General features: G+C 48.7%; 1 protein-coding gene across 2 annotated transcripts in view, besides 1 other annotated feature; it reads left to right on the top strand.

The window, feature by feature from the left end:
• DYNC2I2 (dynein 2 intermediate chain 2) overlaps positions 1-16,858 on the top strand; it is a 50,808-nt gene that overhangs the window by 2,709 nt on the left and 31,241 nt on the right. The gene's annotated exons all lie outside the window — the stretch shown is intronic.
• Positions 13,447-13,947: an enhancer, noted in NCBI's record as "H3K4me1 hESC enhancer chr9:131430084-131430584 (GRCh37/hg19 assembly coordinates)". NCBI's record gives its function as "activates a minimal SCP1, AML or CMV promoter by ChIP-STARR-seq in primed H9 embryonic stem cells {active_cell/tissue: H9 hESC(primed)}" and the evidence as "EXISTENCE:reporter gene assay evidence [ECO:0000049][PMID:30033119]".

Raw genomic sequence — 16,858 nt, 5'->3', positions numbered from 1 at the left:
AGGCCACTGTTATTGGGGGTCTGTTAGGGCATAAAAATGAGTAAGGCAAAAAACAAAAGCACAACAGCTAATAGAAGGTAGATTGGTACAACTAAGGTGGAAAACTGCATGCCAAGACTACCCAAGCTGAATGTGTTCATGCTTTGTGACCGAGCAATGGTACTCCTCCCTACATCTCCAACAGATATGCATAACGTGCACCAATGTTCACAGCAGCAAGATTCATAATAGACAAGAATGTTCACAGCAGCAAGATTCATAATAGACAAACTGGAAACAATGCAAATGTCTGTCCAAGGTAGAATGAATACATTGTGAGATATTCAAGGAAAGGAAAGTTACAAAGCAATGAAAATAAATGGGCCAGACGAGGTGGCTCACACCTGTAATCCCAGCACTTTGGGAGGCCAAGGCAGGTGGATCACCTGAGGTCAGGAGTTTAAGACCAGCCTGGCCAACATGGTGAAACCCTGTCTCTACTAAAAATACAAAAATTAACCTGGAGTGGTGGCACGCACCTGTAGTCCCAGCTACTCGGGAGGCTGAGGCAGGAGAATCACTTGAACCCGGGAGGCTGAGGTTGCAGTGAGCCGAGACTGCGCCACTGCACTCCAGCCTGGGTGACAGAGTGAGACTCCGTCTCTAAAAAAGAAAAGAAATGAATGACTGGTACTCGGAATGATGTGAATGCAGCCTACAAATATAATGTTGAGTGAAAGACAAAGACACAAAATAGTATACACCATGTGATTTCTTTTGTATAAAGTACAAAAACAAGCTAGGTGTGGCGGCTCACGCCTGTAATCCCAGCACTTTGGGAGGCCAAGGTGGGCAAATCACTTGAGGTCAGGAGTTTGAGACCAACCCAGCCAACATGATGAAACCCAGTCTGTACTAAAAAATACAAAAATTAGCTGGGCGTGGTGGCACACGCCTGTAATCCCAGCTACTCAGGAGGCTGAGGCAGGAGAATTACTTGAACCCAGAAGGTGGAGGTTGCAGTGAACCGAGATCACGCCACCGCACTCCAGACTGGGCGACGGAGTGAGACCCTGTCTCAAAAATAATAATAATAGGCTGGGCACGGTGGCTCACACCTGTAATCCCAGCACTTTGGGAGGCCGAGGCAGGCAGATCACGAGGTCAGGAGATCGAGACCATCCAGGCTAACACGGTGAAACCCCGTCTCTACTAAAAATACAAAAAATTAGCCGAGCATGGTGGCGGGCGCCTGTAGTCCCAGCTACTCTGGAGGCTGAGGCAGGACAATGGCGTGAACCCAGGAGGTGGAGCTTTCAGTGAGCCGAGATCGCGCCACTGCACTCCAGCCTGGGCGACAGAGCAAGACTCCGTCTCAAAAAAATATAATAATAATAATAATAATAATAATTGACCAGGTACAGTGGCTCATGCCTGTAATCCCAGCACTTTGGGAGGCCGAGGCTGGAGGATCACGTGAGGCCAGGAGTTTGAGACCAGCTAGGCCAACATGGCAAAACCCCGTCTCTATTAAAAATACAAAAATTAGCCGGGTGTGGTGGCACATGCCTGTAATCCCAGCTACTTGGGAGGCTGAGGCACAAAAATCGCTTGAACCCGGGAGGCAGAGGTTGTGGTGAGCCGAGGTCACACCATTGCACTCCAGCCTGGGCAACAAGAGTGAAACTCTGTCTCAAAAAAAAAAGAAAAGAGAAAGAAATAAAGTACTAAAACAGGCAAAATTAGCATGTACTATTAGAAGTCCAGAGTCTTGTGGTATAAGGGTATGTGGAAGAGACATTAGGGGACTCCAGGGTCCTGGTGATGCTCAGTTTCTGGATGGGGATTGCTATACCAGTGTATTTCATTCATGAATCTTAGGTTTGCCAGATTTTATATATGTGTGTCTGTGTATCTATTTTTTGAGATAGGGTCTCCCTCCCTGTTGCCCAGGCTGGAATGCAGTGGCGCAATCATGGCTCACTGCAGCCTTAAATACTACTTAGGCTGAGACAGGAGAATCACTGGAAACCAGGAGGCAGAGGCCTCAGTGAGCTGAGATCGCGCCACTGCACTCCAGCCTGGGCGACAGAGCAAGACTCCATCTCAAAAAAAAAAACAAAAAAAAACAAAAAACAAAAGTTAGCCAAACATAAAGGCATGTGACTTTAGTCCCAGCCACTCAGGAGGCTGAGGCAGGAGGATGGCTTGAGCCCGGGAGGTATAGGCTACAGTGAGCTATGATTGCTCCACTGCACTCCAACTGGGTCAACAGAGCAAGACCCTGCCTCAAAAAGTAATTAATTAATTAATTACTTTAACTAAATCTTAGTCATAAGTCAATGACCTCAATACTGATAAAAAGCTGAGCTTTCTCTGGTGGAAGAAAAGGTGGAGGACGTGCCACCATCACCCATGTCCCTCATCGATTCCCTTTCTTCTTTTTGAGCTGCTGAGACTCTGGGCTCCTTCTAATGCATTTTGAAAGTCACAGGTGTCTTGATTTTACAAAGGGCAAGCGAGCCTGACAGAAGGGATTTGCCTAAGATCATGAAGAGAATAACCACGTTCTAATGAGAAATGGATTTGAGGATCACCTCATCACAGAGATGTGCTTGCTAACAAGCCTAAGTCTCAGTGTATATATCTGTAAAATGGATGATAATACCTGCCTCTTTGTTTTATTTATTTATTTATCTATTTTGTGACGGAGTCTTGCTCTGTACCCCAGGCTGGAGTGCAGTGACGCAATCTCGGCTCACTGCAACCTCCGCTTCCCAGGTTCACGCCATTCTCCTGGCTCAGCCTTACAAGTGGCTGGGACTACAGGCGCCCACCACCACGCCCGGCTAATTTTTTGTATTTTTAGTAGAGACAGAGTTTCACCATGTTAGCCAGGATGCTCTCCATCTCCTGACCTCATGATCTGCTCGCCTCGACCTCCCAAAGTGCTGGGATTACAGGTGTGAGCCACCACGCCTGGCCCTCTTTGTTTTATTATAAGATTACCTGGCCAGGCTCGGTAGCTCACACCTGTAATCCCAGCACTCTGGGAGGCTGAGGCAGGTGGATCACTTGAGATCAGGAGTTCAAGGCCAGCCTGGCCCACATGGTGAAACCCCATCTCTACTAAAAATACAAAAATTAAGCGGGCGTGGTGGTGGGTACTCGTCATTCCAGCTACTCAGGAAGCTGAGGCAGGAGAATCGCTTGAACCTGGGAGGTGGAGGCTGCAATGAGCCAAGATTGCACCACTGCACTCCAGCCTGGGCAACAAGAGCAAGACTCTGTCTCCAAAAAAAAAAAAAAAAAAAAAAAAAAAAATTACCTGTGGTCTCTACACATGAACATTGAAAATGAAAAATTAAGTTTTTTTGCACCTGGCCTCTTTTAAAAAAAAAATTAGGCTGGGCATGGTGGCTCACACCTGTAATCCCAGCACTTTGGGATGCCGAGGTGGGCAGATCACCTGAGGTCAGGAGTTCGAGACCAGCCTGACCAACATGGAGAAACCCCATCTCTACTAAAAATACAAAATCACCTGGGCGTGGTGCACATGCCTGTAATCCTAGCTACTCGGGAGGCTGAGGCAGGAGAAACGCTTGAATGCGGGAGGCAGAGGTTGCGGTGAGCCAAGATTGCACCATTGCACGCCAGCCTGGGCAACGAAAGCGAAACTCTGTCCCAAAAAAAAAAAAAAGAAAAGAAAAGAAAACTGCAGCTAAGTCGAAGGGAAAAAAGCAAAGTCCAAACCCACGTGGTTAGTATGTTGCCATTTGTGTAAAAGAGGAGTAGATAAAAACACTTTGCCAGTATACCTCTAACACAGCTGTTGAAGGATTCCCAATAAACGAATCACATGGCTGTCCCCAGAGAAAGGACTGGGTGATCAGAGGTGAGAGGACAAGGATAGGTGGTAGCAGTGTTACTCTACCCTGCCGTGTTTTTTGTTGTTGTTGTTTTTCAGATGGAGTTTCCCTCTTGTAGCCCAGCCTGGAGTGCAGTGGCGCGATCTTGGCTCACTGCAACCTTCTGCCTCCTGGGTTCAACCGATTCTCCTGTCTCAGCCTTGCGAGTAGCTGGAATTACAGGTGCCTGCCAGCACGCCGAGCTAATTTTTGTATTTTTTTTTTTTTTAGTAGAGACGGGGTTTCGCCACATTGGTCAGGCTGGTTTTGAACTCCTGACCTCAGGTGATCCACCCACCTCAGCCGACGCAAAGTGCTGGGATTATAGGCATGAGCCACTGTGCCTAGCCTGTGCATTTTGTTTTCTTGTTTTTGCTTTTGAGATGGAGTCTCACTCTGTCACCCAGGTTAGAGTGCAGTGGAGCGATTTCAGCTCACTACAACATCTGCCTCCTGGGTTCAAGCAATTCTCATGTCTCAGCCTCCCAAGTAGCTGGGAATATAGGCATAAGCCACCATGCCTGGCTAGTTTATTGTATTTTTAGTAGAGATGGAGTTTCACTATGTTGGATAGGCTAGTCTCGAATTCTGCTCTGCATTTTGAGTTTGGAGGCTTGTGAACTTTTTTCTTTCTTTTTTTTTTTTTTTGAGACAGAGTTATAGGAGTGAGCTATGGCACCTGGCCCTTTGTGAACATATTACATTAAAAATAAAACTGGCTGGGCATGGTGGCTCACGCCTGTAAACCCAGCACTTTGGGAGGCTGAGGCAGGTGGATCACGAGGTCAGGAGATCAGGACCATCCTGGCAAACACGGTGAAACCCCATCTCTACTAAAAATACAAAAAATTAGCCGGCCGTGGTGGCAGGCGCCTGTAGTCCCAGCTACTTAGGAGGCTGAGGCAGGAGAATGGCCTGAACCCAGGAGGTGGAGCTTGCAGTGAGCAGAGATCTCGCCACTGCATTCTAGCCTGGGCAATAGAGCGAGACTCCGTCTCAAAAACAAAACAAAACAAAAAAAAAAACAGCTGGGGCCAACCATAGTGGCTCAGGCCTGTAATCCCCACACTTGGGGAGGCTGAGGCAGGCACATCACTTGAAGTCAGGAGTTTGAGACCAGCCTGGCCAACATGGCAAAACCGTGTCTCTACTAAAAAATACAAAAATTAGCCTGGCGTGGTGACAGGTGCCTGTAGTTCCAGCTACTCTGGAGGCTAGGGTAGGAGAGTCACTTGAACCTAGGAGGCGGAGGTAGCAGTGAGCTGAGATCACACCACCGTACTCCAGCCTGGGCGACAGAGCAAGACTCCGCCTCAAAAAAAAAAAAAAAAATTCAAACACATAAGACCTCACTTTTCCTGTTTGTTTGTTTGTTTGGACTGAGTCTCTCTCTGTCACCCAGGCTGGAGTGTAATGGCAGGATCTAGGCTCACTGCAACCTCCACCTCCTGGGTTCAAGTGATTCTCCTGCCTCAGCCTCCCGAGTAGCTGAGATTACAGGTACCCACTATCATGCCCGGCTACTTTTTGTATTTTTAGTAGAGATGGGGTTTCATCATGTTGGCCAGGTTGATCTTGAACTCCTGACCACAGATGATCCACCCACCTTGGCCTCCCAAGTGCTGGAATTACAGGCGTGAGCCACTGTGCCTGGCCTGTTTGTGTGTTTTTTAATATTTTTTCTTTATTTTTAAATTGAGACAGGGTCTTGGTTTATCATCCAGGCTGGAATGCAGTGGTGTGATCATAGCTTACTGCAGCCTCCACCTCCCAGGCTCTAAGTGATCCTCCCTCCTCAGCCTCCTGAGTAGCTAGGACGACAGGTGTGCCCCAGCAAATCAGCTAATTTTTGTATTTTTTGTAGAGACAGGGTCTTGCTATATTACCCATGCTGGTCTTGAACTCCTAGACTCAAGTGATCCTCCTGCTTCAGCCTCCAGGGTAGCTGGACCTGGCCCACCTTTCCTTTCCTCTCCAGCTTCTAAAATTTGAGCTTCCTGGACTCCCAGGGGCGTTACTAGGCAACTGTGGCAACTCTTCCCAGTTCTAGAATGGAGCTACAGGGCAGCTGGGGGCAAAGCAAAAGGTGTCCCTCCACTCCACCCAAAAGTTGACAGGCTCAGGGAGTACCAGATGTTCCATAACCCCAAGGCCAGGCTCCCTCTGGGAACCAGAAGTTTCCAAAACATTGTATTGTTTCTTTATCTGTTCACCTGTCCGCTTGGGATGGCTGTAGATAGCTACCATTTATTGAGCATCAGCTGGACCTACATGTGGCGCTGACTAAGCATTACCCTTTTGAATCCTCCCATCCATCTTTATAGGATAGTATTATGCCCTTATTTTACAGTTGGGAGAACCAAACCAAATGAAGAATCAAGGCTCCGCCAGGCTCGGTGGCTCATGCCTATAATCCCAGCACTTTGGGAAGCTGAGGTGGGCAGATCACCTGAGGTCAGGAGTTAGACTAGACTAGCCTGGCCAACATGGTGAAACCTCATCTCTACTAAAAATACAAAATTGGCTGGGCATGGTGGTGCATGCCTGTAATCCCAGCTAGTTGGGAGGCTGCAGCAGGAGAATCGCTGGAACCCAGGAGGCGGAGGTTGCAATGAGCTGAGATCGCGCCACTGCACTCCACCCTGGGTTGACACAGCAATACCCTGCCTCTAAAATAAATAAATAAAAAATAAATAAAGACTCAAAGGCATAACTTGCCCTAAAATCAAAGGGCAAGGAGTAGAGGAGTCAAGATTCCAACCCCTGTCTTTCTGGCTCCCCTATACCAACATAGCCTTAGTGTAATGAAAACAGACCGCTCAGGAAGGCTGACAGTGAAGCAAGGCTGGTCTCTGAGACCCCCGGGAGATCAGCTCTGACGGGGCCTCAGGAATCTCCCGGTAGAGTTTCTCTACCACAGACATTTCTCTTTCCTTGCCCCTCACACTGAGCTCTGGCTCCTGAGTATTCCTTAAAAAGTTATCATTGGCTGGGCGTGGTGGCTCACGCCTGAATCACAGCACGTTAGGAGGCTGAGACGGGCAGATCACTTGAGTCCAGGAGTTTGAGACCAGCCGCACGACATGGCTAAACTCCATGTCTAGACATTTTTTATTTTTTTTGAGACGGAGTCTCGATCTCTCTCTCAGGCTGGAGTGCAGTGGTGCAATCTCTGCTCACTGCAACCTCCATCTCCTGGGTTCACGCGATTCTCCTGCCTCAGCCTCCCAAGTAGCTGAGATTACAGGTGCGTGCCACCATGCCCAGCTAATTTTTGTATTTTTAGTACAGACAAGGGTGTCACCATATTGGCCAGGCTGGTCTCGAACTCCTTACCTTGTGATCCACCGTCCTTGGCCTCCCAAAGTGCTGGGATTACAGGCGTGAGCCACCACGCCAGGCCAAAATTTTTTTTTAAATTAGCTAGAGACGGCCAGGCATGGTGGCTCATGCCTGTAATCCCAGCACTTTGAGAAGCCAAGGCAGGCGGATCACGAGGTCAGGAAATTGAGACCATCCTGGCTAACACGGTGAAACCCCATCTCTACCAAAAATACAAAAAATTAGCCGGGTGTGGTGGCGGGCGCCTGTAGTCCCAGTGACTCGGGAGGCTGAGACAGTAGATGGTATAAACCCAGGAGTTGGAGCTTGCAGTGAGCCGAGATTACGCCACTGCACTCTAGCCTGGGCAACAGAGCGAGACTCCATCTCAAAAACAAGACACACACACACAAAACAAAAAAAATTAGCTAGCGATGATCAGGTGTGGTGGCTCGTGCCTGTAATCCCAGCACTTTGGGAGGGTGAGGTGGGTGGATCACCTGAGGTTGGGAGTTAGAGACCAGCCTGACCAACATGAAGAAACCCAGTCTCTACTCAAAATACAAAAATTAGCCAGGTGTGGTGGCGCATCCTGTAATCCCAGTTACTCGGGAGGGTGAGGCAGGAGAATTGCTTGAACCTGGGAGGCTGAGGTTGCGGTGAGCCAAGATTGAGCCATTGCACTCCAGCCTGGGCAACAAGAGTGAAACTTCATCTCAAAAAAAAAAAAAAAAAAATAGCTGGGTGCGGTAGCTCACGCCTGTAATCCTAGCACTTTGGGAGGCCTAGGGGGGCGGATCACGAGGTCAGGAGATCGAGACCATCCTTGCTAACACGGTGAAACCCCATCTCTACTAAAAGTACAAAAACATTAGCCGGGCTTGGTGGCTGGTGCCTGTAGTTCCAGCTACTCGGGAGGCTGAGGCAGGAGAATGGCGTGAACCCAGGAGGTGGAGCTTGCAGTGAGCCGAGATTGCACCACTGCACTCCAGCCCGGGTGACAGAGCTAGACTCCGTCTCAGAAAAAAAAAAAAAAATAGCCAGTGAGGTGGTCTGTGCCTGTGGTCCCAACTATTCAGGAGGCTGAGCAGGGAGGAGCCCTTGAGCCCTGGAGGCAGAAGTTGCAGTAAGCCCAGATTGCACCACTGCACTCCAGACTGGGCGACAGAGTGAGACTCCTTGAAAACAAACAAACAAAACAACTGTTTGCTACTGTATTTTTTAACCATTAACAAATGTTTTTGACAACTTTTTGCCATTATGTATAAATAAGAACATTTTATTATTGACAGTATTTTTTAATCTTGCATTATTTTTGTTGGGTAAATGTGCTATACTTATTTAAGCCTCAAAGGTGAAAATTTAAGCTGCTACTACTGTTTGATCATTATAAGCAACTCTGTGATAAACATCTGAGCAGCTAAGTCCTGGCACATATACATGATTGTTTCCTTAGAGTATGTTGTTAGAACTACAATTGTTAAGTGAAAAAGTATGTAAAATAAAAAGGGTTTTTTTTTGAGACTGAGTCTCACTCTGTCGCCCAGGCTGGAGTGCAGTGGCCCAATCTCGGCTCACTGCAAGCTCCGCCTCCCGGGTTCACACCATTCTCCTGCCTCAGCCTCCCTAGTAGCTGGGACTACAAGTGCCCGCTACCACGCCCCACCAGTTTTTTGTATTTTTAGTAGACACGGGGTTTCACCATGTTAGCCAGGATGGTCTCCATCTGACCTTGTGATCCGCCTGCCTCGGCCTCCCAAAATGCTGGGATTATAGGCGTGAGCCACCGCGCCCGGCCAATAAAAAGGGTTTTTAACATGTTCCCAAATTGTCCAGTTGCTCTTCTGTAGTGTCTGTGTATATTTCAGTACATTTCATTGAATCTGGCTTCTTTCCATTTTGGCAGGTGGAAATTTTTTTCCTTTTTTTTTTTCTCCCCAGAAGCATAGATTTAAGTTGCCCTGAATAGACACTTCCTGGTAGTTGGAAAATTTTATCTCACAGCTGGTATTATTAATGAGATTAAACTTTTTTTTTTTTTTTAGAGACAGGGTCAGTGTAGTGGCTCACAACTGTAATCTCAGCATTTTGGGAGGTTGAGGCGGGCACATCACCTGAGGTCAGGAGTTTGAGACTAGCCTGGCCAACATGGGGAAACCCCGTTTCTACTGAAACTATAAAAATTAGCCAGGCCTGGCGGATCACGAGGTCAAGACATCCAGACCATCCTGGCCAACAAGGTGAAACCCTGTCTCTACTAAAAATACAAAAATTGGCCGGGCGCGGTGGCTCACACCTGTAATCCTAGCACTTTGGGAGGCCGAGACGGGCGGATCACGAGTTCAGGAGATCAAGACCATCCTGGCTAAACGGTGAAACCCCGTCTACTAAAAATACAAAAATTTAGCCAAGCATGCAGGTGGGCGCCTGTAGTCCCAGCTACTCGGGAGGCTGAGGCAGGAGAATGGTGTGAACCCAGGAGGTGGAGGTTGCAGTGAGCTGAGATCGCGCCACTGCACTCCAGCCTGGGCGACAGAGCGAGACTCCGTCTCAATAAATAAATAAATAAATAAATAAAAATACAAAAATTAGGCCGGGCGCGGTGGCTCAAGCCTGTAATTCCAGCACTTTGGGAGGCCGAGGCGGGCGGATCATGAGGTCAGGAGATCGAGACCATCCTGGCTAACACGGTGAAACCCCGTCTCTACTAAAAATACAAAAAAAATTAGCCGGGCATGGTGGCGGGCACCTGTAGTCCCAGCTACTCGGGAGGCTGAGGCAGGAGAATGGCTTGAACCCAGGAGGCAGAGCTTGCAGTGAGCCGAGATCGAGCCGCTGCACTCCAGCCTGGGCGACAGAGCAAGACTCCGTCTCAAAAAATAAATAAATAAAAAATAACAAAAATTAGCTGGACGTGGTGGCACGCACCTGTAGTCCCAGCTACTCTGGAAGCTGAGGCAGGAGAATCACTTCAACCCGGGAGGCAGAGGTTACATTGAATCGAGATCGGCCACTGCCCTCCAGCCTGGAGACAGAGTGAGACTCCGTCTCAAAAAAAAAAAAAAAAAAAAAAGAATTAGCCAGGCCTGGTGCATGTGCCTGTAATCCTAACTACTTGGGGGGCTGAGGCAGGAGAATTGCTTGAACCCAGGAGGCGGAGTTTGCAGTGAACTGAAATCAAGTCACTTCACTGCAGCCTGGGTGACAGAGCAAGACTCCATCTCAAAAAAAAAAAAAAAAAGAGAGACAGGGTCCCACTCTATTGCCCAGGCTGGAGTGCACAGAAGCAGGATCACAGCTCCCTGTAGTCTTGAACTCCTGGGCTCAAGTGACCCTCCCACCTCAGCCTCTCTGGTAGCTGGGACAGGTGCTCATCACTGTGCCCAGCCGAAGTTCTTCATGTGTTTCTTGACTGATGATGCTACTGCTTTTCTAAACTGCCCATTCTTGGGTGTTTCTTTTTTTTTTTTTTTTTTGAGACGGAGTTTCGCTTTTGTTGCCCAGGCTGGAGTGCAATGGTGCAATCTGGGCTCACTGCAACTTCTGCCTCCCAGGTTCAAGCGATTCTCCTGCCTCAGCCTCCCAAGTAGCTGGGATTACAGGCACGTGCCACCACGCCTGGCTGATTTTGTATTTTTAGTAGAGACGGGGTTTCACCATGTTGGTCAGGCTGGCTGGTCTCCAACTCCTGACCTCGGGTGATCCACTGCCTCAGCCTCCCAAAGTGCTGGGATTACAGGCCTGAGCCACCACACCCCACCGCGTTTCTCTCTCTCTTTTTTTTTTTTTTTCTTTTGTTGTTGTTGTTTGAGATGGAGTCTCACTCTGTTGCCAGGCTGAAGTGCAGTGGTGTGATCTCGGCTCACTACAACCTCCTCCTCCCAGGTTCAAGCAATTCTCCTGCTTCAGCTTCCCGAATAGCTGGGACTACAGGTGTGGGCCACCACACCCAGCTAATTTTTGTATTTTTAGTAGAGATGGAGTTTCACCATGTTGGCCAGGGTGGTCTCGATCTCTTGACCTCATGATCTGCCCGCCTCAGCCTCCCAAAGTGCTGGGATTATAGGTGTAAGCCACTGTGTTTGGCCTCTCTTTTTTTTTCTGAGATGGAATTTCACTCTTGTCACCCAGGCTGGGGTGATATGGCACAATCTCAGCTCACTGCAACCTCTGCCTCCCAGGTTCAAGCGATTTTCCTGCCTTAGCCTCCCGAGTAGCTGGGATTACAGGCACCCACCACGACGCCCAGCTATTTTTTTGTATTTTTAGTAGAGACGGAGTTTCACCATGTTGGCCAGGCTGGTCCCAAACTCCTGACTTCCGGTGATCCGCCCCTTGGGCTCCCAAAGTGCTGGGGTTACAGGTGTGACCCACCAGCGGTGTCCAGCCTTTTTTTTTTCCTTTGAGACAGAGTCTTACTCTGTAACCCATGCTGGAGTACAGTGGCAAGATCTTGACTTAGTGCAATCTCTGCCTCATCAGTCAAAGCAATTTTCATGCCTCAGACTCAAGTAGCTGGGATTACAGGTGTTCACCACCATGCCCAGTCAATTTTTGTATTTTTAGGCCAGGTGCAGTGGCTCATGCCTGAAATTTCAGCACTGTGGGAGGCCGAGACTGGCGGATCACAAGCTCAGGATTTCAAGACCTGGCTCAGCAACATAGTGAAACCCCGTCTTTACTAAAAATACAAAAAATATAAGCGTGCATTGTGGCACACACCTGTAATCGCAGCTACTAGGGAGGCTGAGGCAGGAGAATCCCTTGAACCTGGGGGGCAGAGGTTGCAATGAGCCAAGTTTGTGCCACTCATCACCAGCCTAGGCAACAGAGCGAGACTCCATCTCAAACAAAGTTACGCTCTTGTTGCCCAGGATGGCGTGCAATAGTGCGATGTCGGCTCACCGCAACCTATGCCTCCTAGGTTCAAGCGATTCTCCTACCTCAACCTCCCAGGTAGCTGGGATTAGAGGCATGTGCCACTACGCCCGGCTAATTTTGTATTTTTAGTAGAGACAGGGTTTCTCCATGTTGCTCATGCTGGTCTTGAACTCCCGACCTCAGGTGATCTGACCACCTCAGCCTCCTGAAGTGCTGGGACTAGAAGTGTGAGCCACTGCGCTGGGCCTTCTTTTTAATTTTAATTTTAAAAATTTTTTTTAATTTCTTAAATTTTTTTGAGACAGAGTCTCGCTCTGTCGCCCAGGCTGGAGTGCAGTGGCGCAATCTCGGCTCACTGCAAGCTACACTTCCCAGGTTCACGCCATTCTCCTGCCTCAGCCTCCCGAGTAGCTGGGACTACAGGCGCATGCCACCACGCCTGGCTAATTTTTTGTATTTTTAGTAGAGACGGAGTTTCACCGTGTTAGCCAGGATGGTCTTGATCTCCTGACCTCGTGATCCGCCCGCCTCGGCCTCCCAAAGTGCTGGGATTACAGGTGTGAGCCACCACACCCGGCCCAATTATATATTTTTAGTAGAGACGGGGTTTTGCCATGTTGGTCAGGCTGGTCTCAAACTCCTGACCTCAGGTGATCCACCGGCCTCGGTCTCTCAAAGTGCTGGGATTACAGGTGTGAGCCACTGCACCTGGCCATATGGCAGGTTAGTTGTTATACACTCCTTAGCATATTTTGACCTCCATATACACTGTCCCGGTAAGTATTTTATTTCTATGTATTCAAGGCACTTGATCTTTCCTTTTCTTTTTTTTTTTTTTCCTTTTTTTTAGACTGAGTCTCGCTCTGTTTTCCAGGGGTGCAGTGGCATGATCTCAGCTCACTGCAACTTCTACCTCCTGGGATCAAGCGATTCTCATGCCTCAGCCTCCCCAGTAGCTGGGATTACAGGTGCATGCCACCATCCCTGCTAATTTTTGTATTTTTAGTAGAGATGGGATTTCCCCATGTTGGCCAAGCTGGTCTCAAACTCCTGACCTTGTGATCCACCCATCTCAGCCTCCCAAAATGCTGGGATAACAGGTGTGAGCCACTGCGCCCAGCCTTTTTTTTTTTTTTTTAGAATGGTCTCACTCTGTTACCCAAGCTGGCGCTGGAGTGTGATGACACAATCGTGATTTACGACCCAATGCAGTGGCTCACGCCAAGGCGGGCGGATCACAAGGTCAGGAGATGGAGACCATCCTGGCCAATATTGTGAAACCCGTCTCTACTAAAAATACAAAAATTAGCTGGGCGTTGTGGCCAGACGCAGTGGCTCATGCCTGTAATCCCAGCACTCTGGGAGGCGGAGGCGGGCAGATTACAAGGTCAAGAGATCGAGACTGGCCGGGCGTGGTGGCTCACGCCTGTAATCCCAGCACTTTGGGAGGCCAAGGCGGGCGGATCACAAGGTCAGGAGATCAAGACCATCCTGGCCAACATGATGAAACCCCGTCTCTATTAAAAGTACAAAAATTAGCTGGGCATAGTGGCTCACGCCTGTAATCCCAGCTACTCGGGAGGCTGAGGCAGGAGAATCGCTTGAACCTGGGAGGCAGAAGTTGCAGTGAGCTGGGATTGTGCCACTGCACTCCAGCCTGGTGACAGAGCGGGACTCCATCTCAAAAAAAAAAAAAAAAAAAAAGAGATCGAGACCATCCTGGCCAACATGGTGAAACCCCATCTCTACTACAAATACAAAAATTGGCTGGGCATGATGGCACGCACCTGTAGTCCCAGCTACTCGGGAGGCTGAGGCAGGAGAATCGCTTGAACCCAGGAGGCAGAGGTTGCAGTGAACCAAGATTGCGCCACTGCACTCCAGCCTGGCAACAGGGTGAGACTCCCTCTCAAAAAAAAAAAAAAATTAGCTGGGCGTGGTGGCGAATGCCTGTAATCCCAGCAACTCGTGAAGCTGAGGCAGGAGAATCACTTGAACCAGGGAGGTGGAGGTTGCAGTGAGCTGAGATGGAGCCACTGCACTCCAGCCTGGTGTCAGAGCGAGGCTGTGTCTCAAAAAAGAAAAAAATACAGGACGAGGCGGGCGGATCACAAGGTGAGACCAGCCTGGCCAACATAATGAAACCCCATCTCTACTAGAAATACAAAAATTAGCCGGGCGTGGTGGCGGGCGCCTGTAGTCCCAGCTACTCGGGAGGCTGAGGCAGGAGAATCGCTTGAACCAGGGAGGCGGAGGTTGCAGCAAGCTGAGATTGTGCCACTGCACACCATCCTGGGCGACAGTGTGAGACTCCATCTCAATAAAAAAATAAAAAATAAAAATAAATAATCACAGTTTACTGCAACCTCAGCCTCCTAGGGCTCAGGTTATCCTCTCACCTTAGCCTAGTAGCTGGCACTAAAGGCACATATCACCACTCCTAATTATTATTATTATTTTTTTTGAGATGGAGTTTTGCTCTGTTGCCCAGGCTGGAGTGCAATGGCGTGATCTCGGCTCACTGCAACCTCTGCCTCCCGGGTTCAAGCGATTCTCCTGCCTCAACCTCCTGAGTAGCTGGGATTACAGGTGCCCACCACCACACCTGGCCAATTTTTGTATTTTTCATAGAGATGGGGTTTCACCATGTTGGCCAGGCTGGTCTTGAATTCCTGACCTCGTGATCCACCCCCCTCTGCTTCCCAAAGTGCTGGAATTACAGGAGTGAGCCACCGCGCCTGGCCTAATTTTTGTATTTCGTAGCAACAGGGTTTTGCCATTTTGCTCAGGCTGGTCTTGAACTTCTGGGCTCAAGTGATCCATCCACCTTAGCTTCTGAAAGTGCTGGGATTACAACAGGCATGAGTCACCATGCCAGGCCTTATCTTCTTTTTTTTTTTTTTTGAGATGGAGTCTTGCTCTGTCACCCAGGTTGGAATGCAGTGGCACAATCTCAGGTCACTGAAACCTCTGCCTCCTGGGTTCAAGGGATTCTCCTGCCTCAGCCTCCGGAGTAGCTGGGATTATAGGCACTGACCACGCCCAGCTAATTATTGTGTTTTTAGTAGAGATGGGGTTTCATCATGTTGGTCAGGCTAGTCTTGAACTCTTGACCTCAAGTGATCCGCCCACCTCAGCCTCCCAAACTGCTGGGATTACAGGCGTGGGCCACCATGCCCGGCATTGTCTTCATTTTTAACATTCCAGTTTATAACCAACCTGAATTAATTTTGTAGTATGATGTGTGGATGTATTTTGGCTTTTTTTTTTTTTTTTTTTCTGAGACAGGGTCTCACTCTGTCACCAAGGCTGGAGAGCAGTGGCACGATCTTGGTTCACTGCAACCTCCACCTCCCAGGTTCAAGCAATTCTCATGCCTCAGCCTCCCAAATAGATGGAATTACAGGCGCCCACCACCATGCCCACGCCCGGCTAACTTTTGTATTTTTAGTAGAGATGGGTTTTCTCCATGTTGGCCAGGCAGGTCTCGAACTGCTGACCTCAAGTGATCTGCCCGCCTTAGGCTCCCAAAGTTATTTTTCCAAAATATTTGTCAATTGATCCAACACATTTTTTTTCTATTTTTTTGAGACGGAGTCTTGCTCTGTCTCCCAGGCTGGAGTGCAGTGGTGCCATCTAGGCTCACTACAACCACCGCCTCCTGGGTTCAAGCGATTCTCCTGCCTCAGCCTCCCGAGTAGCTGGGACTACAGGCGCCCGCCACCATGCCCGGCTAATTTTTTTTTTTTTTTTTAGTAGAGACGGGGTTTCACCATGTTGGTCAGGGTGGTGTTGAACTCCTGACCTCATGAGCTGCCTGCCTCAGCCTCCCAAAGTGTTGGAATTACAGGCGTGAGCCACTGGGCCCGACTTTTTTTTTTTTTTTTTTTTTTGACACAGAGTCTCACTCTGTCGCCCAGGCCGGAGTATAGTGGTGCAATCTCGGCTCACTGCAACCTCTGCCTCCCGAGTTCAAGCGATTTTCCTGCCTTAGCCTCCCAAGTAGGTGGGATTACGGGCGTGTGCCATCATGCCTAGCTAATTTTTGTATTTTTAGTAGGGACAGCGTTTCACCATATTGGTCAGGTTGTTCTTGATCTCCTGACCTCCGGTGATCCACCTGCCTCAGCCTCTTAATGTACTGGAATTACAGGTGTGAACCACCGCGCCTGGTCCCAACACATTTGTTTTATTCAATACGTGTTGATTAAGTACTTTTTATGAGAAAGCCCTAATTTAAGGTCATGGCAAATATAACGGTGAGACTAACATGACCCATCTCTGGCTGAGTAACTTTGAAATTCACAGATTTGGCCAGGCACGGTGGCTCACGCCTGTATTCCCAGCACTTTGGGAGGCCGAGGAGGGTGGAACACGAGGTCAGGAGTTTGAGACCAGCCTGACCAACATGGTGAAATCCTGTCTCTACTAAAAATTCAAAAATTAGCTGGTCGTGGTGGCGGGCGCCTGTAATCCCAGCTACTCAGGAGGCTGAGGCCGGAGAATTGTTTGAACCCTGGAGGTGGAGCTTTCAGTTAGCCGAGATTGCGCCAATGTACTCCAGACTGGGTGACAGAGCGAGACTCTATCTCAAAAAAAAAAAAAAGAAAAAGAAAAAGAAAAAAAATTCACAGTTATAATTTTACCCAAATAACTGTTTATGTGTTATATTTTTCTTGTTTTTATTTTTATTTTTGTTAAAAAAGAGATGGGATCTTGCTATGTTGCCCAGGCTGGTCTTGAACTCCTGAGCTCAAGTGCTCCTCCAC

This window comes from Homo sapiens, chromosome 9 (assembly GCF_000001405.40).
Source record: "Homo sapiens chromosome 9, GRCh38.p14 Primary Assembly".
NCBI classification, from domain to species: Eukaryota; Metazoa; Chordata; class Mammalia; order Primates; family Hominidae; genus Homo; species Homo sapiens.
Note: the sequence above shows the minus strand (reverse complement) of the source record. Positions and strands in the feature narration are given on the sequence as shown.